This window comes from Homo sapiens, chromosome 2 (genome assembly GCF_000001405.40).
Source record: "Homo sapiens chromosome 2, GRCh38.p14 Primary Assembly".
NCBI classification, from domain to species: Eukaryota; Metazoa; Chordata; class Mammalia; order Primates; family Hominidae; genus Homo; species Homo sapiens.
This window is the reverse complement of record NC_000002.12, coordinates 230,879,669-230,904,864: the sequence shown is the minus strand read 5'-3', so window position 1 is coordinate 230,904,864 and position 25,196 is coordinate 230,879,669. Positions and strand designations below refer to the sequence as shown.

The following is a 25,196-nucleotide window of genomic DNA, read 5'->3' as shown; positions in this document are numbered from 1 at the left end:
GTCGCAGCCAGGGCACAGCTTTCACCAAGGGGAATCAGTATGAGCTTTACAGCAGAGCATGAGACCCAGAGATGCCTGGAGGGGGGAACCCACAGAAAATAGGACTTCCCATATTAATGGAGTGTGAGGAGCAAAGTCATTATTCTCTGAGTATTATTAAAGGGTATATGACCCCAAAGACAGGACTATTTCAATTATATGAACAAAGTGGGATGAAATTGATGGTTAAGAGATCTGTCAGCTATTGATATTTCTTCCCTGGGACTTTACACTGCAAAAAACACCCATATATGGCAAGTATGTTGTCAGTCTACCTGAGCTGCCATAATAAAACACTGCAGACTGAGTACCTTAAACAACAGGAATTTATGTCCCACAGTTCTGGAGGCTGGAAGTCTCAGATCGAGGTCTGGCAGGGTCAGTTTCTGGTGAGGCCACTCTTCCTGGGTTGCTGATGACCACCTCCTCACTGTGTCCTAAGAGGCAGAGAGAGAGGAAACAAACTCTCTGGTGTCTCTTCTGCTAAGGACATTAATCCTACAGGATCAGGCCCCACCCTTACTTCATTTTACCTAAAAGCCATGTCTCCAAATACTGTTACACTGGGGGTTAGGGCTCCAGCATGTGAATTTTGGGGGGGACACTTCAATTCACAGGAACGGCTTCTAGGCTAACCTGGAGTAGAAGTCACACTTCTCTTATTTCTTCAAATTGAACGTAACTTGCCCTAATTCACCAAGGTTTACTGGAGGATGCTCCAGCTCCATTTCACTGGATCCCTTCCGCCCCCAAGATCCTGCGCGGGTCCTAGCTGGGGCATCCCTTGATGACTGCACTGTTTGCAGAGAACCCTGGGTTTCAGTCCACACTGGTCACAGCCATGGTGCCCATCGAGGACTGGGCCTTTCAACAGAGGCATCCGTATGACACTTGGGCACGCAGCTCACTCCTGCAGGCCCCAAGCCCTCCGCGTTAAATGCTCTCGCACCTTCATGTCTGAGGCTCCTTCAGCAGAATGCTTGTCTGGGCTCTTCTTGGGAACCACAGTAGCCCTGCACCTTCCCCGGCTGACCTTTGGACTCACAAACCTAGCATCCTTTTCAGGTAGGGCTTTAGGCAGCCTCTGAGAATGATGAAAGCTCTGGCACTAGGTCTTTTGTTTTGTTTTTCCGTTTGTTTGTTTCGTTTTAAGACAAAGTCTCACTCCTGTCTGCCAGGCTGAGTACAGTGGCATGATCACAGCTCACTGCAGCCTCAACCTCCTGGGCTCAAGGGATCCTCCTGCTTCAACCCCCTGAGTAGCTGGGACTGTAGGTGCACACCACAATGCCTGGCTAATTTTTGTATTTTTTGTAAAGACAGGGTCTCGCCATGTTGCCTGGGCTGGTCTTGAACTCCTGGGCTGAAGCAATCTACCTGCCTTGGCCTCGCAAAATGTTGGGATTACAGGCGTGAGCCACAATGCCCAGCAGGCCATGGGGTCTTAATTCATCTCGTGCCATCGATCCTCCTGCAGTCAGGAGGAAGCCTGTGGACCTTCCCCAGAAGGGCAGTTTCACATGCATCAAGTAAAAATGCATGGAATTAGAGAGGAAACCAGATATATGGAAATGTAGTCACCAACGTAGCAATATATGTTTCTTTAGGCACTGGATAACAAGATCTAGTGATGGGTTTAATGATTATCATAATTTTGAATTTATGATGAACTGAGAAGTTATTTTGAATTATCTGCAGCAACTGTAGTGGGATATGAGAGTATCTGTGATGTCTATTGGTGACAAGTCCCAGGAACCACACCATCTATCGTACTGTGGTGTGATGTCTACGTGCGTAATGGAAGGAAATGCTACCTTCAGTTAGTGATTAGTGAAAATAGCATGTAATGTTTTCCCTCAGCAAGTTCATGACACCCGTGAATTCTACTCCTGATCCCCAGGTTGAGAACTTTTGGGTTAGGCAGAGACATAAGGAACCTGGGCACAGGTGTTCTTCCTCTGGTGAAGGATCATTTGTGTGCCCGCTTTGTTATGCAAATGTGAGCCCCCAGGGTCCCATCCTCTTCCTCTTGGGGTTTGGGCTGACCCAGGACCTTTGTTTGTGGGGCTTAGAGAAGCTGGCCGGCCCTCTTTGTATGCCGCACTATAGGAAGCAGAGTCCCAGGGCCCTCTGAAAGCAAAGACACCCATATCCCAGTCCCCAATCTCAGAGATGCAAAGTCAGGGATACCTGTCTAGGAGTTGTAGGGCAATCCAAGAATCAGTGGCAGGGGCAAGCAATGAGGCCCCCAAAATAAATCACCTTGTGTTAAGGGGGATCTCAACTGATAACACTGTTCTGGCCAGCATGGAACGTGGCTGATACTGGACACCCCTTCAAACCCAGCCGCCCTGCCCCAGGAGCTATGCTTTGGGAAGGGATGGCCGAGTGTGAAATGATAACTAAGAAGAGTCTTAAGCCTGAACCTCAACCACCAAGGGCATCCCAGCGTCTGGGGCAGCAGCGTCCCTCCTTGAGACACCAAGCTGCAACAGTGTCACCTTGTGACAGCTTGGAGAAACAGCAGCAGGGGCTGATGGAACCCTGGCTCTCCTCCCTCAGGTGTGGAAGCAAAGGAGGTCCCTGGGGTCTTTGAGTAATTTGGGGGCAAGTCTTCTGCCTAAAAGACCCATAGGGAAAAATAAATTAAGCAATAAAAGAAATTTGACCATTTTGTAATCTAAGTTGGTGAAGTAGGTCATACCAGTTTCACCATCATCATCGTCTTATATGATATTTTATTACTATTACTGCCTCCTGGCATGTATCTATGTAGTAAGTTCCACTATCAGAGGATGACCTTACCTACCTTTATGGTTTTGTTTTTGTTTTTGTTTTGTTTTTGAGACAGAGTCTTGCTCTGTTGCCCAGGTTGGAGAGCAGTGGTGCTATCTCAGCTCATGGCAACCTCCGCCTCTCGGGTTCAAGTGATTCTCCTGCCTCAGCCTCCCGAGTAGCTGGGACTACAGGCACCTGCCACCATGCCTGACTAATATTTTGTATTTTTAGTAGAGATGGAGTTTCACCCTGTTGGCCAGGCTGGGCTCAAACTCCTGGGCTCGAGTGATCCTCCCGCCTCAGCCTCCCAAAATGCTGGGACTACGGGTGTGAACCACTGCATCCGGCTCCCTAACCTTATGTTATAAAAGTTCTCATGAAAGTACTTGGGGTCACCTAATTGTCACCCCATCAAGCATCTCCAAGGCCCAACCACTCCCAGCAGATTCTGCCTTTGACACGATTGTGAGTCCTTTTCCCAATTCCTAATCCCCTCCTGTGGTATCCCCTGTCCCCACCACTGCAAACTACCACCCTTCTTCCAGCTTGCAGCCATCTCTCTCCTCCTGCTCTTCATCACCTGCTCTTAGGGGTCAGTTGCCTCTGGTATAACTTCTTGGCCAGGGTTGTTCCTCCAAGGACTATATACATTGAAACTGGGAGCAAAGCTGTAGTTCAAACCAAGAGAGAAACGCTTTTATAAATACTGTATCTCCAGTGACTCTGAAATTGCGGCAAACAGGCTGCACAGGTGGGGTCCAGCACCGACTTCCCAAGGCTGCACTGCATCTGAAACCAACCAAACCAGGTGAGGGGGTGGCATAAGGGAAGGAGCACTCCCTTGGCAGGATGGGGCTGGGGGGTGTTTCTGGTTGCTGTGCATTACCATCCATCTCCGTCACCCCTGGCCTTCAGGGAAGTCTCCCACCAGTTCTCCCTGGAGTCAGCTGTCCTTTATTGGAGAAAGAAAGGGGGAATGTGCTCCCTGTGGGCTCAGATACACGTGGAGGACAGTTCCTGTAGGACTCAGGGCTCAGAGGAGAATTTGGCAGTTTCTACGACTATGATGGGAGATGCTAGGGTTCCCACTGAATGTGGGATAAAATCACAAGCCCTTCTGCTTGGAGATTTAAAAAGGGGGGGTGACCCCATAAAGCTGGAGGAGTTGGGGCTAGAAACAGGTCTGTAACAAGACCTTGGCTTGAAGGGAACTATTGTGCAGACGTGGAAGCTGAGGCCCATGGGGGCATGAGCAGCACCAGCTCTCTGATGCCCTTGTAAGTGATTTTTGCATGGCACCCCATGCTAACACCCACTCTGGGTCTCTGTGTCCTGGCCCACCGTACCCACTCCAAAATCCTCTCAGGGCTCTTCAAAGATCCTGAGCCATCAAGGGGCGACCCATCTGCTCCCCAGTAGGGGCTGTCACAAGCCCACCCACTGGCTTCCACTACTCAATTGCACCTGGTCGAGAACAGGCTTATTCTCTCCTTGTCTGTTACACCTCATTTGGTCCTCCCTTGCACCGGTGTCCTAAGTAGAAATGCTCCTTCTTAATCACCTCTCACAGCAAGGTCTCGTGGCTCCCGTCCACCCTGTGTGCCTGGCACAGGCTGGGTGCAGAGCAGAGCTGATAAATACCTGGTGATTGACAGCTGCAGTCATCACCACTGCCCCAGCCCTCGCTTCAGACCAGGAAGCAACCGCAGGCTCAAAGACCCTGGGTCCTGGCCCCATAGCACCAGCTAATAATAACAGACAGCTAGGGGCTTGCTCCAAGCCCCTTATACCTGGCTGTGTGCAGAAGCCCTCTGGTAGGATTGATGATAATGCCGGGGTTCCTGGTGTGCCCCAATCACCAGTTAAGAAGATTCTCATATTTCTCTTAAGGTTCAACTAACAACTTTAAGTCCCTCAATATTATGAGAAGGGGCACTTGCAACTTAGATACAATTTCCAGTGATAGCATCATGTGGGGATTTAAAAAGTGCTGAATCTCTGTAACTGAGAGGAGACGGAGGTGACGTACCCTGAAAGTCACCGGTGACTCAAACCGTGGCTCAGGGGTGATGAGGAGACAGACACTCAAGATGCTGGTGACAGGTTGAGATGAAAAAATGTTCCATGAAATGTGAAAGTGGAAAGGAGTTACCTTCTGTGGAATTAAAAGATGTCTTGAAAACCAAATGCATTAACTCCTACAGGAGACATTTAAACAATTACATGCACAACCCTAATAGTTTGTATATTCAAGCTGGATCTTCTCACTTGGAAAAACAATCTCTTCTGTATGCGCATCTTCTTAATGGCCCACTGGGAAATGCCGTATACTCAGGGGTGCCCTGGGTTTGGGCATAGATGATGTACACCCCTAGTTCCTGGTGAAACCCAGGTCTGGGTGAATGGAGCAAATCCAGATCCTTCTAATGGGATAGGGAAGCAGACTGGCTCCTGTTCCCTGTCACTGAGTGATCCAAAGGACCAAGGCCAGGGACCCTTGCACCAAACCGTGCTGTCAGATTCTGTCTGCCAGCGGGGGAGCCCAGGGAAGCCCAGGGCCGCTGCAGTCACCTCCAGGCAGTGCACGTTGCTCAGCAACCTCTTTGCAACTGTGAGCTGCTCCACATCCCTGCGAAGAGCCTTCTTTTGCTTGAATTAGCTGGAGCTGGTTTCTCTTGCAGGGAACAAAGAAGCTTCCTGTTAGCAAAATGAAGTTTCCTGCTTCAGCAAGAGAAAGGCTCCTTATGGGGAGATGGGAGAGGGGAGTGGGAAGACAGAGGCCCTGGGTATGGGTGCTTGGAGATTCTCTCTTTCCTGGGGGTGAAGGGGAAAGGGAGAGGGAGATTGTATGGCCAGACCTCTTCCACAGCCTTAAAACAGGGATGTAAGCCCTTTTGACAATTTCACTTGAATTCCTTGGGAAATACCAGGTTAGGGTGTTTTCTTGGATGAAAACTCGGGTGGTGCAGGCAGCAAAGCCCATCATCGACGGCCCCAGGGAGCCACGTGCAGATTCTTCCCTTTCCTGCAGTGTGCCCTGGCCTGCAAGGCCCTGTCTAAGGACGCTGGGGTGGACTGAGGCTGCCACAGGAGGGCATGGAGGGTATGGAGGAAAAGGAAAGCTGCTTGATTCATCGGCATCTGACAAAGTGTTCTGTCTACACCATGCCTGCTGCACGAGGCACCTGGTCAGATGTTGGCCCTTGCTGCCCACTAAAGGTCAAAGAGGTGATGGGGATCCCCCTTCCCCACATCATCCCAGGAATTCTCTGACTGTCCTTGGGTCTCTCTGGGAAGACTTCTCGGAGCCCCTGGCCCCAGCTGGGGGTCCCTCCTCTGTGATCCCATGGCACCCTAACTTTCCACAAGGAACTGGGGTGAGTGAGGGTCTCTTGAGTGCAGGGAGCTCATTCAGGTTTATTATGGAAGCTGGGTGACAGTGATGGTTGCATGGTTGCACAACTTTATAAATTTTCTAAAAATTACTGAATTGTTAAACAAGAAAGAAGGAAGCAAAAGCTGTTTTGTTGAAGGATGTACATGGAAATAAAGAAGACAGGACTCTCAGCTCCGTGCAAGCCTGCCCGGGTCCCAGGACAGGCTCACAGCAAGACCTCCCGGGAGGTCCCCATGGGGCCTGGAACACGGCTCAGGTTTGGAAGGGCTTGAGGGTCCAGGGAAGTCTATTGGCTCTGCTCTATCCTTCCTGCCTTTCGGTCTCTGTCTCCTACCACCGTTGTCCCAGCTGGCGGCCACTATCTCTGCTGGCCTCTCCACCCGTGTCCATCACTGGCAGCCTGAGGATGGGCTACCTGTGAATCACGTGCTCCTCCCTGGTCCAGTCAACCACGGCGGAGGAGATGGGGCCATGTGAGATGCCGCCTATGGGGCCGCCTGGAGCTGCTACCTTCAGCAGGGGCCTGGCAGGTGCTCTGAGGCTTTGTGTGTTTTTCTCCACCTCTGTGCCAGGAGGCTGCTGCCCTTCAAGTCTTGTGGGGACACAGTCATGTCCATTCACACTGTCTGCAGTGGCTGCTTTGGAGCTACAGCAGACCACGGTAGTTATGACAGAGACTGTATGGTTTGTAAAACTGAAAACACTTGTAATCTAGCCCTTTGCAAAAAATTTCCCTAATGCCTGCTCTGAACTATAAACTCTTCAGGGAAGGGACTAGGTCTTGTTCATCTCTGGATCTTCAGAACTTAGCAGAGTGTCAGACACATAGTAGAAGCTCAATAAATTGTAGGAGCTCAATTAAATAGATAAATAGATGGAGTCTGGGCTGAATCTGTGCAGTCTATGTCCTTTACTTTAAAAAGAGGCTTCCCGGCCGGGTGCAGTGACTCACACCTGTAAGCACTTTGGGAGGCCAAGGTGGTAGGATCGCGTGAGCTCAGGAGTTTGAGACCAGCCTGGGCAATGTAGTGAGACCTTGTCTCTATTAAAAATAATAATAATAATAATAATAACTGGGTGTGGTGGTGTGCTTGTCATCCCAGCTACTTGGGGGGCTGAGGTGGGAGGATTGCATGAGCTCGGGAGGTTGAGGCTGCAATGAGCTGTGATCCTGCCACTGGACCCCAACCTGGGTGACAGAGCGAGACCCTGTCTCAGAAGGGAAATAAATAAAAGGGGGCTTCTCCTAGACAACACTCTCCTCCTGCTCCTGCTCATTGAACAAGGTGACCAAATGTCCCAGTCTGTCCAGGACTGAGGGAGACCAAGGCTACTCAGTGTTAAAGCTTGGAAAGTTCCAGGCAAACTGGGATAATGTGGTTCCTTATATTGGATACCTGGCCTCTCTATATGTTGAAGCAGCTGCCTACCTCATTTGGGCAATGAATCCACTGTAGTTAGCCAGGTAGAACCATGTGTGCCTAGTAGAAATAGGAATACACATAATCAGCTGCATAACAGATTCAAACAACATAACAGTGTAAAGGAGCAAGGCAGTACCTGGTGGTAGCAGTTGTGCTGAGGATTCTGGGTGTTACCAGTGAAGCGGGTAAGATCTCGTGGGGCTGGGATGATGGAGAAAGGCTTTCTGGGAAGCTGGAGTCCACTCAAGTCTTGATTGGATGAGACAGAATCATCTCTGGCAGAGAAGGAAGGCAGCGACCTTACTGGTGCACGAGGTCCCTGGTGTCCACGTATCAGTCCCCAGGGAAAATTCGGATTGGTCACATGTCATCTCCTGAGCCAAGTTCTGTGGCCAGAGAAATAAGGCGCCGACTGGCCAGTCAGGATCACACGCCCATCTCAGAGGCATGTTGGGTGCTGACTGTGGTACTAAGAGGATCCCGTGAAGTGGAAGTGGAGCTCTGGAAGGAACTCAGCATGGCTTGGTTTGGGTTTCTTGGAAAGCAGAGCGGGAAACAAAGGCTCCTGTGCCCCTCCTTTGGTAGGGAGGTGACCCCAGGGAGCAGGTGTGAGAGAAAGGGGAGTGTAGCTGGGAAGGAAGTGGTGCCAACTCCAGGGTGTGTTATGGAGCTGGCCGAGGCTTGGTAACAAACATAACTGCTTGCTCGACCCCAAGGGCCATCCTCCGGGAAGCTGCACAAATGTTTCTCGGCACAATCCTTTTGGGAGAAAAGGAGAATAATTTGTGCACAGGCTCCCAGCTCGCGTTGGGTCGCCTGAAGGGTATTAATTGCCTCTACTTGCTGGTCGTGGATGGATGGATGCAGTGTCTCCCATCCTAGTATCCAGGCAAGCCTAAGGGGTGCATAGCTGGGACCTGAGGCAGGGGCTGCTGGGTGTGCCTGGGTGAAGCCTGTCTGAGTCCATGCAGAGTTGGTGGTCTCAGCTGTGGCTGGGGCCAGTGGCCAATGGCCCACAGATAAGTGAGAGGGTCCAAAGTAGCACATAAGAAGTGTCTCACAGAAAAGGAACTTGAGAGCATGGGGTCAGATAAAACTGAGTCACCACTGTCCTCCTCAAGAACACCTGGTGTCCACACCTCTAACCAGGGCTTCCTGGTGTTTGCACAAAGAGATTATCAGGTGGCCAGGAACGATCAGACTGGAGCAGTCATTGGGTGGAGGGAAGGTCAGCTGTCCTACTGAGATCCAAGGACAGTCCTTAGCCCCTGCTAAAAGGAAGAGGTGGAATTAGTTAGTCCCCTCTGTGGAATCCAGAAAACTCCTCTAAAAGTTGCTCAGCAAATATTTAATGAAGCTGAACAGAAGTCATAAACCCCAGTTCCCTTGTTTTCTTGCCTGTAGTGGAGTTTCTGACACAGCCAAGGGTGTGGATGTGGGTGGAGCTCCAAGGTCAATCAGCGTGGTTTGAAATTTTGCCAAAGGACCTGGAGAGGGTGGCAAGCTGCTGGGTGGCAGAACATCACGGAGGAACCATGTCCACCCAGCCCCAGCCCCCAGCCAGAGAGGGACGAGGAATGTGGCCTCAAGCCTACACCGTGCAGGAGTCTGTCCAGCTTACCGTGTCCTTGTCAAGCCCCAGTCCTCCTCTCTCTGCAGGAGCCAGAAGGTCATAAATCCAAGGAGCCCAGTCCCATTTCTTGGCCTTCAGGGCTGGGGAGGGAGAGGGTGACCCTTGGTGGCTGTTTATGGGGCCGGTCATCATCTACCTGAACGGGAATAGTCAATTCTTCTGCAGTCTGACGGGAACATTGCCAAGGTCAAAAAACCTGTGAAGACATTGGCCTTGGTGGCACAGTATGACATTTATTTATTTATTTACTTATTTATTTCTTTATTTTGAGATGGAGTCTCCCTCTGTCACCCAGGCTGGAGTGCAGTGGCTCTATCTCGGCTCACTGCAACCTCTGCCTCCCAGGTTCAAGCAATTCACTGCCTCAGCCTCCCGAGTAGCTGGGATTACAGGCGCCTGTCCCACACCCAGCTAATTTTTTGTATTTTTAGTAGAGACGGGGTTTCACCATCTTGGCCAGGCTGATCTTGAACTCCTGACCTTGTGATCCACCCATCTTGGACTCCCAAAGTTCTGGGATTACAGGTGTGAGCCACCACGCCCGGCCTAGTATGACATTTAATATGAATTAAACACATAAGTCCCCTTGTTTGCTTGGTTGGTCTGGGTATACCTGTCCCCACAGTGCCCTGGAACTCCCCCATCCTAACACTTAGCGCACTGTCCAATAACTTCCAGTTTCTTCTTCTACCCGACTAGACCATCAGCCTTGCGAGAGTAGGGTTCGTTTCTTGTTCGCCTTTCCATGCCCAGCACACAGCCCAGGGCCCACCACCCTGCCCAAGGCCCACCACCCTGCAGGCTCCGCAGCAATGCTCCAAAAGCCCGTTTTATGTCTTGGTCTAGACATCAGGTCTACCCAGACAAAGAGGCAGAAGAGTGTGGCCCATCTTGGGGATAGCAGGTCTGTGAGCTCCTAGAGGACAGGGGCAGCATGCTGCTCCTCTCTGTCCCCAGTCCCCAACAGGGCCCGGAACATAACGGGGCTCAAGAATATGTGTTGAATGCATGACTGACTCACTTCTCCTTACTCACTTCTGTTTTGGTTCCGTCCCAGGCTGCAGCCTGGGTGAGCTGAACAATGTCATGCACAAAAGAAATTCTCTTAACAGTTTGGAAAACTGTGACACCACCTTCTGTGCAGAAACGGAAGTGGAAGTGGTGGGGGGTGTCTTCACGGCTCCCAGCCTCGGGGCACGTGGTGTGGGGTGTTTGCACCTGCCGTGCACCCAAGACCCCAAGGAGCGGGGGACCGTGTGTGAAACTGGTGAACGCAGCCCTCCTGAGCCAGGGCATCTAATTTCCCAGGCTCTTGGCTGCCCAAGTGGGGCTACTAAAACCCTGAGACTTGGCACCAGTCACCGAAATGCTGTTCTTTCCATTCTGTTTGCCCCAATTCTGGTAAATGTGAGTTTTATTACCAGCAGCAACAACAAGAAGACAAAGTCAGAAGCGATCCAACTGGAAGCCTTCCTGGGTTTGGAGGTACAGCCTCTGCTCAGCACAGCCTGGCCTGGGGAGGCCTGGGGACAGCAGTCTCCCCGGTAACAGTGGACCGGAATCAGGAGTTCAGGGACAGCTCTGGTTGGGAGGGGTCACCTAAGGGAGAAACAACCTGGGTGGGCCTGGGTCTCAACACGGGATTGCAGGCCTGGGAGGTGGCTGCCCCCTGGGTGGTCAGGAGCTAGGATGCCCTCCATGACGCCTGGAGAAAGGGGCACTCCTGAGACAGGACGCATTTCATCCCCTCCCACCCTCCTGCTGTAAGGTCCCCCATCGCCACAGCTCTCTAGGTAGCCCAGGCCTGCCCCGGCCCCCATGAACCAGGCATTTCTGAACGCCTAGAAAAATCAAGTTTTATATTTTAAAATAGAAAGGAAGGGCTTTTGCTTCTCAGACCAGCTAGAGCTGCCCCATTTCCCAAATTACACAGTGCTCCATCTGATTGCTGCAGCTACTGCTTCTAATTGTCTGAATCCAGACAGGCCTGGGGACTACCCCAGGACGGGTAAGCCCTGCCCCCGACTTCCCACCGAAACTGCATGGTCAGGGCCTGGGCTGGGAGTCTGCAGATGGGCGCCCAGGCTCGCAGTGGCTGCTGTGCACTGAAACTGCAGCGGTTGTGGCTGCCCAGGCTGAGGCTGGGGCTGGGGCTGGAGCTGGGAGTGGCCTCCTCTTAGAAGCCTTCTCCTTTTCCCTACCTCTACCACAAAGGGGGGTCCTCCTGAAGCATCCAAGAAAATGAAGCTGGGGGAGTTCACCTGCATTGAGGTGCAGCTAGCGGTGAGGACGGGGACCAGAGACCCTCATGGAGCATGTGGGAGCTGTAGGTTTACAGCACTGGCTTCCAGTTAGTGGGAGCTGGTGTGGGGGGCTTCGGGTCAGGAGCAGAGGGTAATGCGAGCATTTTTCTCTAGGAGGGGGCAATGGGTCCCAACTTGGGAGACCCACCACCTAAACACCCTGCCCAGAGCCAAGACCAGATTCCTCTGTACTTGCTGCATCTCCAGGGTGACTCACAGGAAGAAGAGGAGAAAAGGCTGAGGGGATTTGGGGGGTGAGGATACTAGAGGCAGGGAGGGAGCAGAGATAGAAGAGGTGGCAGTGGCAGGTGCTGAAAGGACTTGTGGTGGGAGAAGTTTTCCACCATCGTCTGGATGCTGTGTGTGCTCAGGATTGTCTAAGTCAGAGTGAATTCTTTTGAGCCGTGGGCTGTACAGACACATGCTTCCGACTGTTGTGAGCTCCGCTGAGAACTTCTTTAATGCTATCAACAACCACGTGAGATAGATATTATTATTTCCAGTTTATAGAGTAGGAAACTGAGACTTGGAGAGATTGAATAACTTGCTCATGCTTGCTGTGGTAGCTAGTATCCAAAGATGGCTGCAGACAATCTTGCCCTCCCTATACACGCACGGCACTTCTCCCCTCGAGAGGTGGTCCTTATGTCCCCTCATCTTGAATCTAGGATGGGCCCACAACTTCTTTGGCCAAAGAATACAGGGGAAATGATGTCCTGGGACCTCAGAGCCCAGGCACTAAGTAGGCTTGACAGCGTCTGCCTCCTCCCTTTTGGGACCCAGTCTCCATGTTGTGGGGAAGCCCAAGCAGGAAAGAGGAGAGGACTATTTGGAGGAGAGTTGAGGCTCTCAGCTGACAGTCCCAGCTGAGCTCGGAACTGATAGGACACTGTGGTTGAAGTAGATCTTGCCTCCCTAAAGACAGCTCAGATAATGACACACAGGGCACAAAGAAATCATCCCTGCTCAGCCCTTCCAAACTGTAAAATCTTGAGCACATAATTACTCTTTTTTTTTTCTTTTTTTTTGAGATGGAGTCTCACACTATTGCCCAGGCTGGAGTGCAGTGGCACGATCTGGGCTCACTGCAACCTCTGCCTCCCGGGTTCAAGCGAGTCTCCTTCCTCAGCCTCCTGAGTAGCTGGGATTACAGGTGCCCACCACCATGCTCAGCTAATTTTTTGTATTTTTAGTAGAGACGGGGTTTCACCACGTTGGCCAGACTGGTCTTGAACTCCTGACCTTGTGATTCACCCACCTCGGCCTCCCAAAGTGCTGGGATTACACACGTGAGCCACCACACCTGGCCGATTACTCTTTTAAGCAACAAGGTTTGGGGTATTTGTTATGCAGAAATAGATAACCAAAACCATCATCCAGCCAGTCAATGGCAGAAATGAGATACAAACCCAGGTCTGGTGGTCCAGAGCCCACTGTCTTGCCACCAAGCCTCGGGGCTGTTCTACCACCACTGACGCATAGGGTATCATCCAAAGCTCTGAGCCTTCACCCCAGGTTGCGGCTGCTCAACTTCCTTTCACGTCCTGTTCCCTGAACTCCCAGCTCAGCTGAGGGTTAGGGGGGTGCAGGTGGCCTCAGGTTCAGACTCCCCGTGGCAGCCCCTCCTCCACTTAGAACCAGCTGCCCCAGATGCCCGCTGGGGGAACTGTAAGACCTAAACCATCTGTCCACCTAATGAGGCTTTCCTTTCCTTTTCCCTTTCCCCACATCTCCTCCCCCAAGTCTAGATAAAGACTTCACAAGTCCAGGGAAAAAGAAATCAGATGCTGGTGAGGTAGCAGGAATGGGGTGGGGGGTCCTTGGGTCCTCTACGCCCCCATCACCGGGGGTTAGCTCCAAGGAAGAGACTTGTCAGCCCCTCAGGGATCTGAGAAAAGAGGGGGATTGTGCCCATGAGTCAGACATTCCAAAATAAAGGACGTGCAAAGGAGGCGACCTCAAACCAACTGTGCAACTCTTGCCCATCCTCCACTCCTGGCTGCTAACTGAAGGCCAAATAGAGAGAACATTTCTTTTTTTTTTTCTTTTTTAGAGACAGTTTCACTCTGTCACCCAGGGTGGAGTGCAGTGGTGAGATCATGGCTCACTGCAGCCTCGAGCTCCCAGGCTCAAGCAGTCTTCCCAAGTAGCCAGGACTACAGGTACATATCACCATGCCCAGCTGATTTTTAAATTTTTTTGTACAGACAAAAAATTTAAATGGCCTGTGTTTCCCAGGCTGTTCTTGAACTCCTGGCCTCAAGTGATCCTCGTGCCTCGGCCTCCCAAACTGCTGGGATTACAGGGGGGAGCCACAGTGCCAGCCAGAGAGAACATTTCTAAGGAGAGAATGATCACAGAGTCCGGCGCACCACCACTCTGCCTTATGCCTAGTGAGAGGGGCTTCACTGAGACTGCTGGGAGACCTGGACATGGGGCCTGGGAGTAATTTGGAAGGGAGCCCTGTGGACTGGGTGGGGGCCAAGCCCCTGGGGAAGCAAGTAGTGAGAGGCTGTGGCTGGAGCTGCCTGCTTGTTGCTTGGAGCACAGGACAAGAAGAGGTGTGTGCCAGCAAATAACCCATTCTGCTGGATTCTGTAGCATCAAAGGGTGTGTGAATGTTTCAGAAGCTGGTCTGAGTTACTTAGATCCAGTCCAAGAAAATGAAGCTGAGGGAGAGTTTGCCTGCATTGAGGTGCAGCTAGTGGTGAGGACGGGGACCAGGGACTCTCATGGAGCATCCACCTGAGGGAGGGTGAACTGGTGATGCTAGTGCTACAGTTTGGATCAATGTTGGAGGTGGGGCCTAATGGGAGGTGTTCTGGTCATAGGTTGGAACCCTCATGAATAGATTATTGCCCTCCTACAGAGGCAAGTGAGTTTCACTCCGTTAGTTCCCACGAGAGCTGGTTGTTAAAAAGAACCTTTGCCTCCCGTGTCTCTCTTGCTTCCTCTCTCTCCACATGATCTCTGCGTGTGATCTCACGCCAGCTCTGTTCGCCTTCTGCCACGAGTGGAAGCAGCCCGAGGCTTTCACTAGATGCCCAGTCTTCCAGCCAGCAGAATCGTGAACCAAATAAGCCCGTTTTCCTTATAAATTCCCCAGCCTCAGGTGTTCCTTTACAGCAACACACACCGACTAAGACAACTAGTGACCTCTCCTGCTCCGACGCCCGACGCCAAGCCCTCACGCTACTGTCCCAAACTTGGAGGCGCCGAGGAGCCTAGTGAAGGGGAGGAAAAGTAGAAGCATGAGGCAGGGGCATGGAGGAGAAACCCGCCAAGCTCCCCACGCGCCTTGTAGGCTTCCCATGTGGGCAGGTCTGGGATGGGGCAAGGGAGTGGTTTTAACTTCAAATGCCATCTGGAGTTTCAACTGTTTTGATAGTTAGATGTTGTAATTACTGAAATTGGATTTGTGTGAATAAAAGTTACCCAAGGGATTTTTATTATCTTGGATGGACCAGAAAAACCAAGAAACCTACCTTCAATTTCATCCAAGGTCAGAGGAGAACCCAACCCACCGACCAGGCTTGAAAAGGTAGTGGGAGAAAGAATTGTTTTCGGATTACACCCCACAAGGCTCCCGTGTTCAATAAAACTGTGACACAAACACTGGGAACAATTCTGGTGAATTTAGGAAGAAAGGAATTGATTGACGGGACACTGGGTGGCTCAGAGTCACTGGGTGGGCTGGAGAAACCACTTCAGCAATTGGGAGACCACAAAGGGAACCGCGGGCTCCAGAATGTGGAGATGATGCCACCACCTTCCTGATGCCCACGAGACTCTGTGTTGCTGTTGTCCCCTCTACCAGGATGCATTTTTCACTGTCCCCCTTCCTGAGTCACTTGTCCCTATGGCATGGTCTGGGTGTGATATGGTATGGCTCTTTGTCCCCACCCAAATCTCATCTCACATTGTAATCCCCGCATCAAGGGAGGAGCCTGGTGGGAGGTGATTGGATCGGGGGGCAGTTTCTCCCATGAGTCGTCACTCATGAGTTCTGGTTGTTTGATAAGTGTCTGGCACTTCCCCGCCGTGCTCTCTCTCTCTCTCCTGCCACATGTGAGACTAACACGTGCCTTGCTTCCCCTTCGCCTTCGGCCGCGATGGTAAGTTTCCAGAGGCCTCCCCAGCCACGTGGAACCGTGAGTCAATTAAACCTCTTTCCTTTCTAAATTACCCAGTCTCAGGTAGAATCTTCATTGCAGTGTGAACATGGACTAATACAGAGAGGAAACATCTGATTGGCTGAGCCTGGTCACATGCTTGACTCCAGCCCCAAGGGGCACTGGGAAAAACAGATTCAGCTTAACAACAGGGATATGTCCTGAGAAATGCATTGTCAGGCAGTTTCATTGTGTGAACATCGTAGGGTGCACTTACACAAACCCGCATGGCATAGCCTACTGCACACCTGGGCTATACATGTTAGCCTACATGGCATAGCCTACTGCACACCTGGGCTATACGGGTTATCCTGTTGCTCCTAGGCCACAAGCCTGTGCAGCATGTTTCTGTACTGAATACTGTAGGCAATCGCAACACAATGGTGTATCTAAACATAGAAAAATATCGTTCAAAATATGGTAGGAAAAATAAAAATATGGTACACCTGTGTAAGGCGCTTACCATGAATGGAGCTTGCAGGACTGGAGGTTGCTCTGGGTGAGTCAGTGAGTGGTTGGTGAGTGAATGGGAAGGCCTGGGACATTACCGACCACTGCTGTAGACTTTGTAAACGCTGTACATTTAGGCTACACCACATTTACGGAAGATTTTTTCTTTCCTCAATAGTAATGTAACCTTAGCTTACTGTACCTTTTTTTTCCTTTATAAACTTTTCAATTTTTAAAAACCTTTGGACTTTTCTATAATAATACTTAGCATAAAACACCAACACATAGAGCTTCACAAAGTATTTTCTTTGTACCCTTAGTCTTTTGTTCTTTTTTTTTTTTTTTGAGGCAGAGTCTCCCTCTTGTCACCCAAGCTGGAGTGCAATGGTGTGTCTCGGCTCACTGCAACATCCGCCTCCTGGGTTCAAGCTATTCTCCTCCCTCAGCCCCCCAAGTAGCTGGGATTACAGGTGCGCACCACCACGCCCAGCTAATTTTTGTGTTTTTAGTAGAGACGGGGCTTCACCATGTCGGCCAGGCTGATCTCGAATTTCTGACCTCAGGTGATCCGCCTGCCTCGGCCTCCCAAAGTGCTGGGATTACACCACGCCCAGTCCCCCTTTTTTTCTATTAAAAATTTTTTTTTTAACTTTTAAACTTTTTAGTTAAAAACTAGACACTAACACACACATGAGCCTAGGCCTACATAGGGTCAGGACCATCAGTATCACCATCTCCACCTCCACATCCTGTCCCACTGGAAGGACTTCAGAGGCAATGCATGCATGGAGCTGTCACCTCCTATGATGACAATGCCTTCTTCTGGAAACCTCCTGAAGGATCTGCTGAGTCTGTTTACAGTTAACTTTTTTTTTAATAACTAAAAAGAGTACACTCTTATTAGCAATTAAAAACACAGTGTAGTAAATACGTAAACCAGCAACATAGTTGTTTATTATTATTAAGTATTAAGTACTACACATAATTGTATGGGCTATACTTTTATATGACTGGCAGTGCGGTAGGTTTGTTTACAGCAGCATCAACACAAACACATGAGTGATGTGTTGCACTCTGACCTTACAATGGCTGTGACGTCACTAGGCAATAGGAATTTTTCAGCTCCATTGTAATTTTACGGGACCACTGTGGTATGTGCAGTCATTGTTGCCTGAAACGTCGTTATGTGGTGCATGGCTGCATAATAGTAGGTGGCTGGTGTCTCCCATCAAAACTGTTTTGGAGGGGCAAATCCTGAATACAGGAACGTGATTCAGATGATTGGCCCCTGGTGGGGAAGGGAGGGCAAAAATTAATATCTTTGAAAAGGGCAAACTGAAGTGATGACCGAGTTTACCTAGAAAATATCAAGATTACACATTCTGCCACTAGACTAAGGGAAGGTTTGAAAACTAGATTATTACACAAAACACACTATTATAGAAAAATAAAGATACCAATAAAGATACTTTGGACACCTGAGTTTGTGGCTATGAAATTCATACTCACCCCAGAGATAACGCGAGACACGAACAAAAGTAATCAATGAAAAACTGCTGGCATACTGACTGCTTGAACACTGTGGGCACTCGCTCAGTGTGGGACAAGCGTGCTGGCTAAAGTCCCTCCCCTTCCCTCCCTCCCCTCCCTGTCCTCCCCACCTCCCCCTGCCTCCCACCCCCACCCCCCACCCCATTACCTCACTGCTGCCAGCCTTCCCTTTCCCATCAGTCCTCCGTTAGGCGCAGAGCCCTGGCTCCTGCGGGGCCAGGCTGGACGTGGCTTCCAGTGACAGGGCCCTTTGTCTCACAGGTGGGAGGCTGGCGTGCGACCTTCATCGGCTCCCACGTCTCTGCCTCCGTGCTCTGGCAGCTGGAGTGGGTGCAGCATGCAGCAAGGATACGGAGATGCCATGGTGGGCCACCGTGACTGCCGACCCTTCTAGGACTGCACCCCCGTCAGTCCTGGCTGCCCCAGGCCCTAGACTCAAAGCCTCTCTTCCAGTCCCCACAGGGAACAGGGCCCCAGGAGGAGAGCAGGCTGCCCCCGTGCCCCGGGCCCTCAGAGGGTGAATTTGGACCTTTCCTGTTGTATTTTGCCCACTCTCTGACATTCCTCTTCCCCACCTTCAAAGCTCAAATGGTTCCCCAGGAAGCCTGCACTAGTCACTCTGATCTCTCCCTCCTCTGAACCCTGTGCTGCCAGGTCACATGCAAAACACGTGTCATTAAAGCTGGAAAAGACCTTCAGAATGACTTGGTCCAAACTCCCCATTTTACAGAAGGGCAAGTTGGAGCCCAGAGATGATGTTAGCCCACCACAGCTGTACAGATGCACCAGGGGACAATGGCAGAGTCCAGATCCCCGGGACCTCGGGACACAGGACTCCCTCCTTACTTCGGGGACACTGCATGTGCTGCCTTGGGTGGTCTGCTGTGCCTCCCCATGAGGGCACGTCCCATGGAAATGGGCTCTTTTTCTTTCCCAGGCAGAGAGCTGGAGGTGCCCAGGGCCCCACACCTGACATGGCCAGGGTGGGCAGGGACCAGTCCATCATCATTCCCTAAGCAGTTATTGGAGCTCTGAGGTCCCTGATAAGTAACACTCCAGCACCAGTGGGTGGTAACTCCTTCAGGCAGAAGGCTGAGCACGGTTTCCATGGAGACCGCCCAGGCTCTGGTTTCCAAGACAACACTTGCACGAGGTTACAGAGCTTCCTATTTATGTCAACTTAACATTTCCAACTGCTCTATTCTTCTGGCCAAACCCGGGCCTAATGCAAGGCCTCCATTCTAGGATGGGTGACAGTCCTCGAGGGCTGGAGGGAAGTGGCTGAGACTCCGTGCAGTTAGGTGAAAGTGAGACATTGCAGCCAGCAGGGCCTCCTCAAGCCCAGGGGCAGGTGTACAGAGACCAATACATGCTCATGCTTATGAATTATAAAAAGGTGTAGAAAGAGACGTAGTCCTACAGCTTCCTGCCATCCCTGCTCTCCAGAGGGAACTGGTGTTACAAGGCTTTGAGTGCGCTTCCAGAAATAGCACATGCACAGCCATAGCGCTATCACTTAAAAAATTCACAAACGGGATAGAGATAAATATATATTCTTGCTCTTGCCACCTGCTTTACCCTAATTATAGATTTCGGAGAACTTTACACATCAGCACAAATAGATCTACCTCATTCTTTGTAATAGCAACAAAATACTGTACTTTTTTAAAATACCAAGTCTCCAACTAAAGGACATTTGTCTTTAGTTTCTTGCTATTATAACAATAAATATGCTTGTACATATACTTTTGCATATCCTATGGAGTACATCCATAGGATACATTCTGGGCCAAAAACATTGCATTTTAAAATTTGATTTTGTCAAACTAATTTACTCCCATTACAGGCCAATGTTACAAAAAACATATATCTAAAATTCCTAAACAAAATGTTAGCAAATGGAATCCAGTAGCATAGATATAAGAAAATACCTCATGACTAAATCAGTTAGCAATATTCGCCACATTAACAGATATGCAAACATATGAATAGATGCAGAAAAAACATTTGATAAAACAATTTAATATCAATCCTTGATTAAAAATAAAAACACTTTGAAAACTAAGAATAGAGAACTTCTTAAATCTCAAAGAGTATTCTTCTAATATTTACAGCTAAACTATATTCAAGGTGAATTTCCTTTTAAATCAAGAACAAAACAAGATTTGTGGCTATCACCATGGTGCCAGAGCTCCTACCCAGTAAGATAGCACAAGAAAAATAAATAAAAGTTTTAATTATTTGAATGGAAGAAACAAAATTTACTCATAATCAGTTACCAGAATTGCTTGTCTACAAAGCACAAGGCTGGGCACTGTAGCTCCCGCTTGTAATCCCAGCACTTTGGGAGGCTGAGGCAGGTGGATCACTTGAGGTCAGGAGTTCGAGACCAGCCTGGCCAACATGGCAAAACCCCGTCTGTACTAAAAAGACAAAAATTAGCCAGGTGTAGTGGCATGGGCCTGTAATTCCAGCTACTCGGGAGGCTGAAGCAGGAGAATCGCTTGAACCCTAGAGGCGGAGGTTGCAGTGAGCCTAGATTGTACCATTGTACTCCAGCCTGGGTGATAGAGTGAGACTCTGTCTCAAAAAAAAAAAAAAAAAAAAAAATTTCCTCAGAGAACTTTGTGGAATAAGAAAGACAGCCCGGCAAGTTTGCTGGATCAATACTCAAAAATAAATTATACTTCTACACATTGGCAACAAAGGTATAATTATTAAACATCATAACAACAAATATAAGGGACATAGGAATCAATGTAATGAAAGATTTGTAAGACCCCTACTGAGGAAAGTATAAAACTATGTTGGAAGACATTAACAATGCAGATTTTAAAAATACCATGTTCATGGGTGAGAGCACTCAATATCCTGATTTCAATTCTCCCCAAGTGGATCTATAGATTTCATATAAGTCCATTAAGAACCTCAACAGAAGGCCAGGCGCGGTGGCTCACACCTGTAATCCCAGCACTTTGGGAGGCTGAGGTGGGCGGATCATGAGGGCATTGAGACCATCCTGGCTAACATGGTGAAACCCCATCCCTACTAAAAATACAAAAAATTAACTGAGCACGGTGGCAGGTGCCTGTAGTCTCAGCTACTTGGGAGGCTGACACAGGAGAATGGCGTGAACCTGGGAGGCGGAGCTTGCAGTGAGCAGAGATCACGCCACTGCACTCCAGCATGAGTGACAGAGCGAGACTCCGTCACAAAAAAAAAAAAAAAAAAAAAGAACCTCAACAGAATTTTCCATGAAACTTGGCAGTTGTTTCTAAAATGCATATGAACAAAAAGGGCCAAGAATAGGCATGGCACTGCTGGAGAGAATCAAGGTAGGAAACTTTTAGTACCAGGTAGCAAGACTTACTTTAAGTGTGGTTATGGTCCAACGGATAGACCTGATGAACAAAACAGAAAGCCCAGAAGTAGACCTTACATATAGAGAAACTTGATCCTTGCAGACATATACTGTAACTCAGTGGGGAAGGAAAAACAAAAACAGAACAAATCGTTATTCCTACCTCACATCAGACCAGGGATTAAATTCCTGGGGATTCAAAAATGTAAAATACAAAACTCTAAAATGAATAGAAGAAATTGTAGAATAATGCCTCTTCAACCTTAGGATGGGAAAGATTTCTGAAATGATATAAAAGGCCCTAACCACAAGGAAAAAGATGAATAAATTTGACTGCATTAAAATCAATAATTTCTGTTCATCAAAGTGACCACAAAGAAAGTGAGAAAGCTATGTACACGTGATGCTGTTTGTAAAAAAAAAAAAAAGGTGAGAAGGCAAGCCATGAACTAACTTGGGTAAGATACTTACCACCCATCAATGAAAATATGTAAAATATAAAATGTATAAATATATAAATAACTCCTACAAATTAGTAAGAAAACAAAGCAACCAATAGAAAAATAGGCCAAAGAAAGCAAGTCGGCATTTTACAGGAAAGGAAATTTGAGGGTTCAATAAACATGTGAAACCGGCCCCACTTTTCTAGTAATCGAGGAGACACAACTAAAACCATAATGAAATACCATTTTATTTCCTATCCATTGGCAAAAAACGTATTGCTAACATGAAGTGTTGACAAGGATGTGGAACGAGTAGAATGTCTATGCGGTGCAGCTGGAAGTGTAAATTGGTTCAATGTCTTACAAAAAACAATCTGCTAGAATTTTATGAGTTGAATATTTGCACACTGTGTGACCCAGTGCTGAGGTGCCCCAGGAACCCCATCAAAGAAATGTTCATGAAAGCGTTCTGATAGTAAAAAAAAAAAAAAAAAATCAGAAAAAAATCCAAAGAGCCATGGTTAGTCATTGTTTCATAGGTATTAAGCTGTATATTCATACAATGAACTAATATACAACAGTAAAAATGAATGAAATATTACCATAGGCTTCAACATGGACACGGCTTAAAAGGTTTGGAGGGTGGGGAAGCAAGTCAGAGAATAATATGTGTATTTTGTTACCACTTTCACAGTGTTCAGATCCAAGCAAAACTTCCTCAGGGATTCTTGGATATATGGTACAATTAGAAAGCAGAACAGAGAAACCCAAGATAGGAATTACCTGGATTGGCTAATTAGTAGAGTTTAAGATTGGCTAATTTATGGAAAATTGACATATTTTCAAGATTGTCTTTGGTTCTAAGAATAGGTGTGTCTTTGCACTAATTCAGGCATTTAATGTCCCCCATGAAATACTGAGGGGAGAGGGATGGCGGGGAGTGCTCGGATGATGTCTGAGTTTCCAACAGTTCTTGGCATCCCTGAGCATGCAAGCTGCTCCCCATCTGCAGGGTCTTTCCCTCCCCTTGAATCGGAACTGGTTTTGTGACTTGCTTTGACCAACAGAATGCAATGAAGTAACATTCTGGGATTTGTGGTGCCAGGTCTTAAAGGATGGTCAGCCTCTGCTTCCCCTCTTTTGGAGCTCAATTGACAAGCTGTAAGGAGGGCTGGGCTAGACCATTAATGGTTAGAGGCCACGTGGAGCGAGGCCCTTGGAGGGTGAGAGGCCATCTTGGTTGCTTGGACCGCAGCTGAGCTCCCAGATGAACATACAGCAGAGGGTGCGGTTATCCCACGGGGACCCCTCGGTCATCCAGCTGAACTCAGGCAACTCACAGACTCGGGAAAAATAATAAACCACTGTGTCAGGCCACTAAGTTTTGGGATGGTTTGTTATGCAACAGGAAGAGGAGAAGAGCATGCAGAGACTCTCAGTGGTATTTGGTAGTCTTTTGTTTCATAAGTTGGCTGGTGGGTTTCCAGAGATACGTTGATTAATACATTTTATAACTTACACACTGACTTACACGTAGTGTTTTGTATACAGTACATGCTTCATGGCCGGGCACAGTGGCTCACGCCTGTAATCCCAGTACTTTGGGAGGCTGAGGTGGGAGAATTACCTGAGGTTGGGAGTTCGAGACCAGCCTGACCAACATGGAGAAACCCCGTCTCTACTAAAAATGCAAAAATTAGCTGGGCATGGTGACACATGCCTGTAGTCCCAGCTGCTCGGGAGGCTGAGGTGGGAGAATCGCTTGAACTTGGGAGGCAGAGGTTGCGGTGGGCCGGGATCGCACCATTGCACTCCAGCCTGGGCGGCAAGAGCGAAACTCCGTCTCGAAAAAAAAAATGCTTCACAAACATCCAACCCTAACTTGACCTGTAAAAACATATCTCTTGGGCAGGTGCGCGGTGGCTCACGCCTGTAATCCCAGCACTTTGGGAGGCTGACGCAGCTGGATCACCTGAGGTCAGGAGTTTGAGACTGGCCTGGGCAACATGGTGAAACCCCATCTCTACTGAAAATACAAAAATTAGCCGGCATGGTGGTGTGCGCCTGTACTCCCAGCTACTCGGGAAGCTGAGGCACAAGAATCACTTGAACCCAAGAGGTGGAGGATGCAGTGAGCCGAGATGGTGCCACTGCACTCCAGCCTGGGTGACAAAGCGAGACTCCATCTCAAAAATAAAATAAAATAAAATAAAATAAAGTATCTCCCTAGTTTTGATTTCTAGAACTGTTTATATTATTTGCTCATTTCTCTATTGGGTTGTTCCTTTTTCACAATGGTTTATAAGAACTTTGCATATTAAAAAAAAATAGCCCTTTTTATGCCTGTGTTTGAAAAGACATTTCCGTTTACTGCTTATAAACCTCTTGGCTTTGTGGTATACATTGCTGTATATAAATTCTAACTTTTCGTAACCAATTTTTTCCTGGTAGATATCATGCTTAGAAAGGCCTTTCCTCCTCCAAGATTACCTTTTAAATAATCTCTTCAAGTACTTTCATAGTTTCATTTCATAATTAAAATCTCTGATCCATCCAGCATTAATGTTGTTCTAGGGAAGTAGAATCCAGGTTAATTTTTTGTCAAAATGGCTAGCCCGCTGTTCCATTAAAAATAACCCACATGGGCCAGGCGCAATGGCTCACACCTGTAATCCCAGCACTCTGGGAGGCTGAGGCGGGAGGATCACCTGAGGTCAGGAGTTTGAGACCAACCTGGCCAACACGGTGAAACTCCGTCTCTACTAAAAATACAAAAATTAGCCAGGTGTGGTGGCACACGCCTGTAATCCCAGCTGCTCGGGAGGCTGAGGCAGGAAAATTGCTTGAACCCGGGAGGGGGAGATTGCAGTGAGACAACATCGCCCCACTGTACTCCAGCCTGGGTGACAGGAGCAAGACTCCATCTCAAAAAAAGAAGAAAAAAAAAACCAACAACAAAAAAAAGGCAAACCCACATGTCTCCCACTAACTGGAAATGCCGCCATAATCATATATTAAATTTCCGTGTAATTTAAGTCAATGTCTGGGCCTCTGTTGGGTTGCACTGGGCTCTGTCTTTGCTACACTGAACTCCTTAATTATTGTGGTGTATAACGCTTTATATCGGAGCCTGGGCGACAAGAGCGAAACTCCGTCTCAAAAAAAAAAAATGCTTCACAAACATTCAACCCTAACTTGACCTGTAAAAACATATCTCTTGGGCAGGTGCGCGGTGGCTCAGCCTGTAATCCCAGCACTTTGGGAGTTCTTTACCGTTTATAGGATCTACCTGACTATTCCCTGTTTACTTTCCTGAAAGAATTATTTGTGTCAAGTTAAAAAATAAATTCAGTTGGCATTTTAATTGTGATTGCAATGCATTTCAATCAGCAAATGTGAAAAAAAAAAAAACTGATGTCTTTGCATGATTGCCTTTGGATCTGGGAACAAGGTGTGTCTGCACTAATTTGAGTATTTTATGGCCCTCACTGGGTACTGAGGCTTAACAGCACCAAGCAGGTGGGCACCCATCCTGGTCCCCAGGGCAGGATATAGGTCCCACCTCTGGGGTCCACCTAGACATGGCTCTGGCCAGCTCTCCTGCCGCTTCCAGAATTCTCTGGAGAATGTGACCCTGTGATTATC

General features: G+C 48.7%; 1 long non-coding RNA gene across 1 annotated transcript, besides 6 other annotated features; it reads right to left on the bottom strand.

Annotated features, from left to right (window-relative positions):
- Positions 1-347: 347 nt before the first annotated feature.
- On the bottom strand, positions 348-18,319 carry GCSIR (GPR55 cis regulatory suppressor of immune response RNA). Its single transcript, NR_038238.1, has 4 exons — positions 17,896-18,319; positions 9,260-9,467; positions 7,775-8,906; positions 348-476 (listed from the first exon to the last, which is right to left on the bottom strand). It is a non-coding gene; the product is annotated as a GPR55 cis regulatory suppressor of immune response RNA (long non-coding RNA).
- Positions 2,328-2,387: a silencer, noted in NCBI's record as "silent region_12419". NCBI's record gives its function as "represses an Ori minimal core promoter by ATAC-STARR-seq in GM12878 lymphoblastoid cells {active_cell/tissue: GM12878}" and the evidence as "EXISTENCE:reporter gene assay evidence [ECO:0000049][PMID:35858748]".
- Positions 2,458-2,537: a silencer, noted in NCBI's record as "silent region_12418". NCBI's record gives its function as "represses an Ori minimal core promoter by ATAC-STARR-seq in GM12878 lymphoblastoid cells {active_cell/tissue: GM12878}" and the evidence as "EXISTENCE:reporter gene assay evidence [ECO:0000049][PMID:35858748]".
- Positions 10,730-11,309: an enhancer, noted in NCBI's record as "H3K4me1 hESC enhancer chr2:231758271-231758850 (GRCh37/hg19 assembly coordinates)". NCBI's record gives its function as "activates a minimal SCP1, AML or CMV promoter by ChIP-STARR-seq in naive H9 embryonic stem cells {active_cell/tissue: H9 hESC(naive)}" and the evidence as "EXISTENCE:reporter gene assay evidence [ECO:0000049][PMID:30033119]".
- Positions 11,037-11,276: an enhancer, noted in NCBI's record as "active region_17254". NCBI's record gives its function as "activates an Ori minimal core promoter by ATAC-STARR-seq in GM12878 lymphoblastoid cells {active_cell/tissue: GM12878}" and the evidence as "EXISTENCE:reporter gene assay evidence [ECO:0000049][PMID:35858748]".
- Positions 11,310-11,889: an enhancer, noted in NCBI's record as "H3K4me1 hESC enhancer chr2:231757691-231758270 (GRCh37/hg19 assembly coordinates)". NCBI's record gives its function as "activates a minimal SCP1, AML or CMV promoter by ChIP-STARR-seq in naive H9 embryonic stem cells {active_cell/tissue: H9 hESC(naive)}" and the evidence as "EXISTENCE:reporter gene assay evidence [ECO:0000049][PMID:30033119]".
- Positions 18,887-18,956: an enhancer, noted in NCBI's record as "active region_17253". NCBI's record gives its function as "activates an Ori minimal core promoter by ATAC-STARR-seq in GM12878 lymphoblastoid cells {active_cell/tissue: GM12878}" and the evidence as "EXISTENCE:reporter gene assay evidence [ECO:0000049][PMID:35858748]".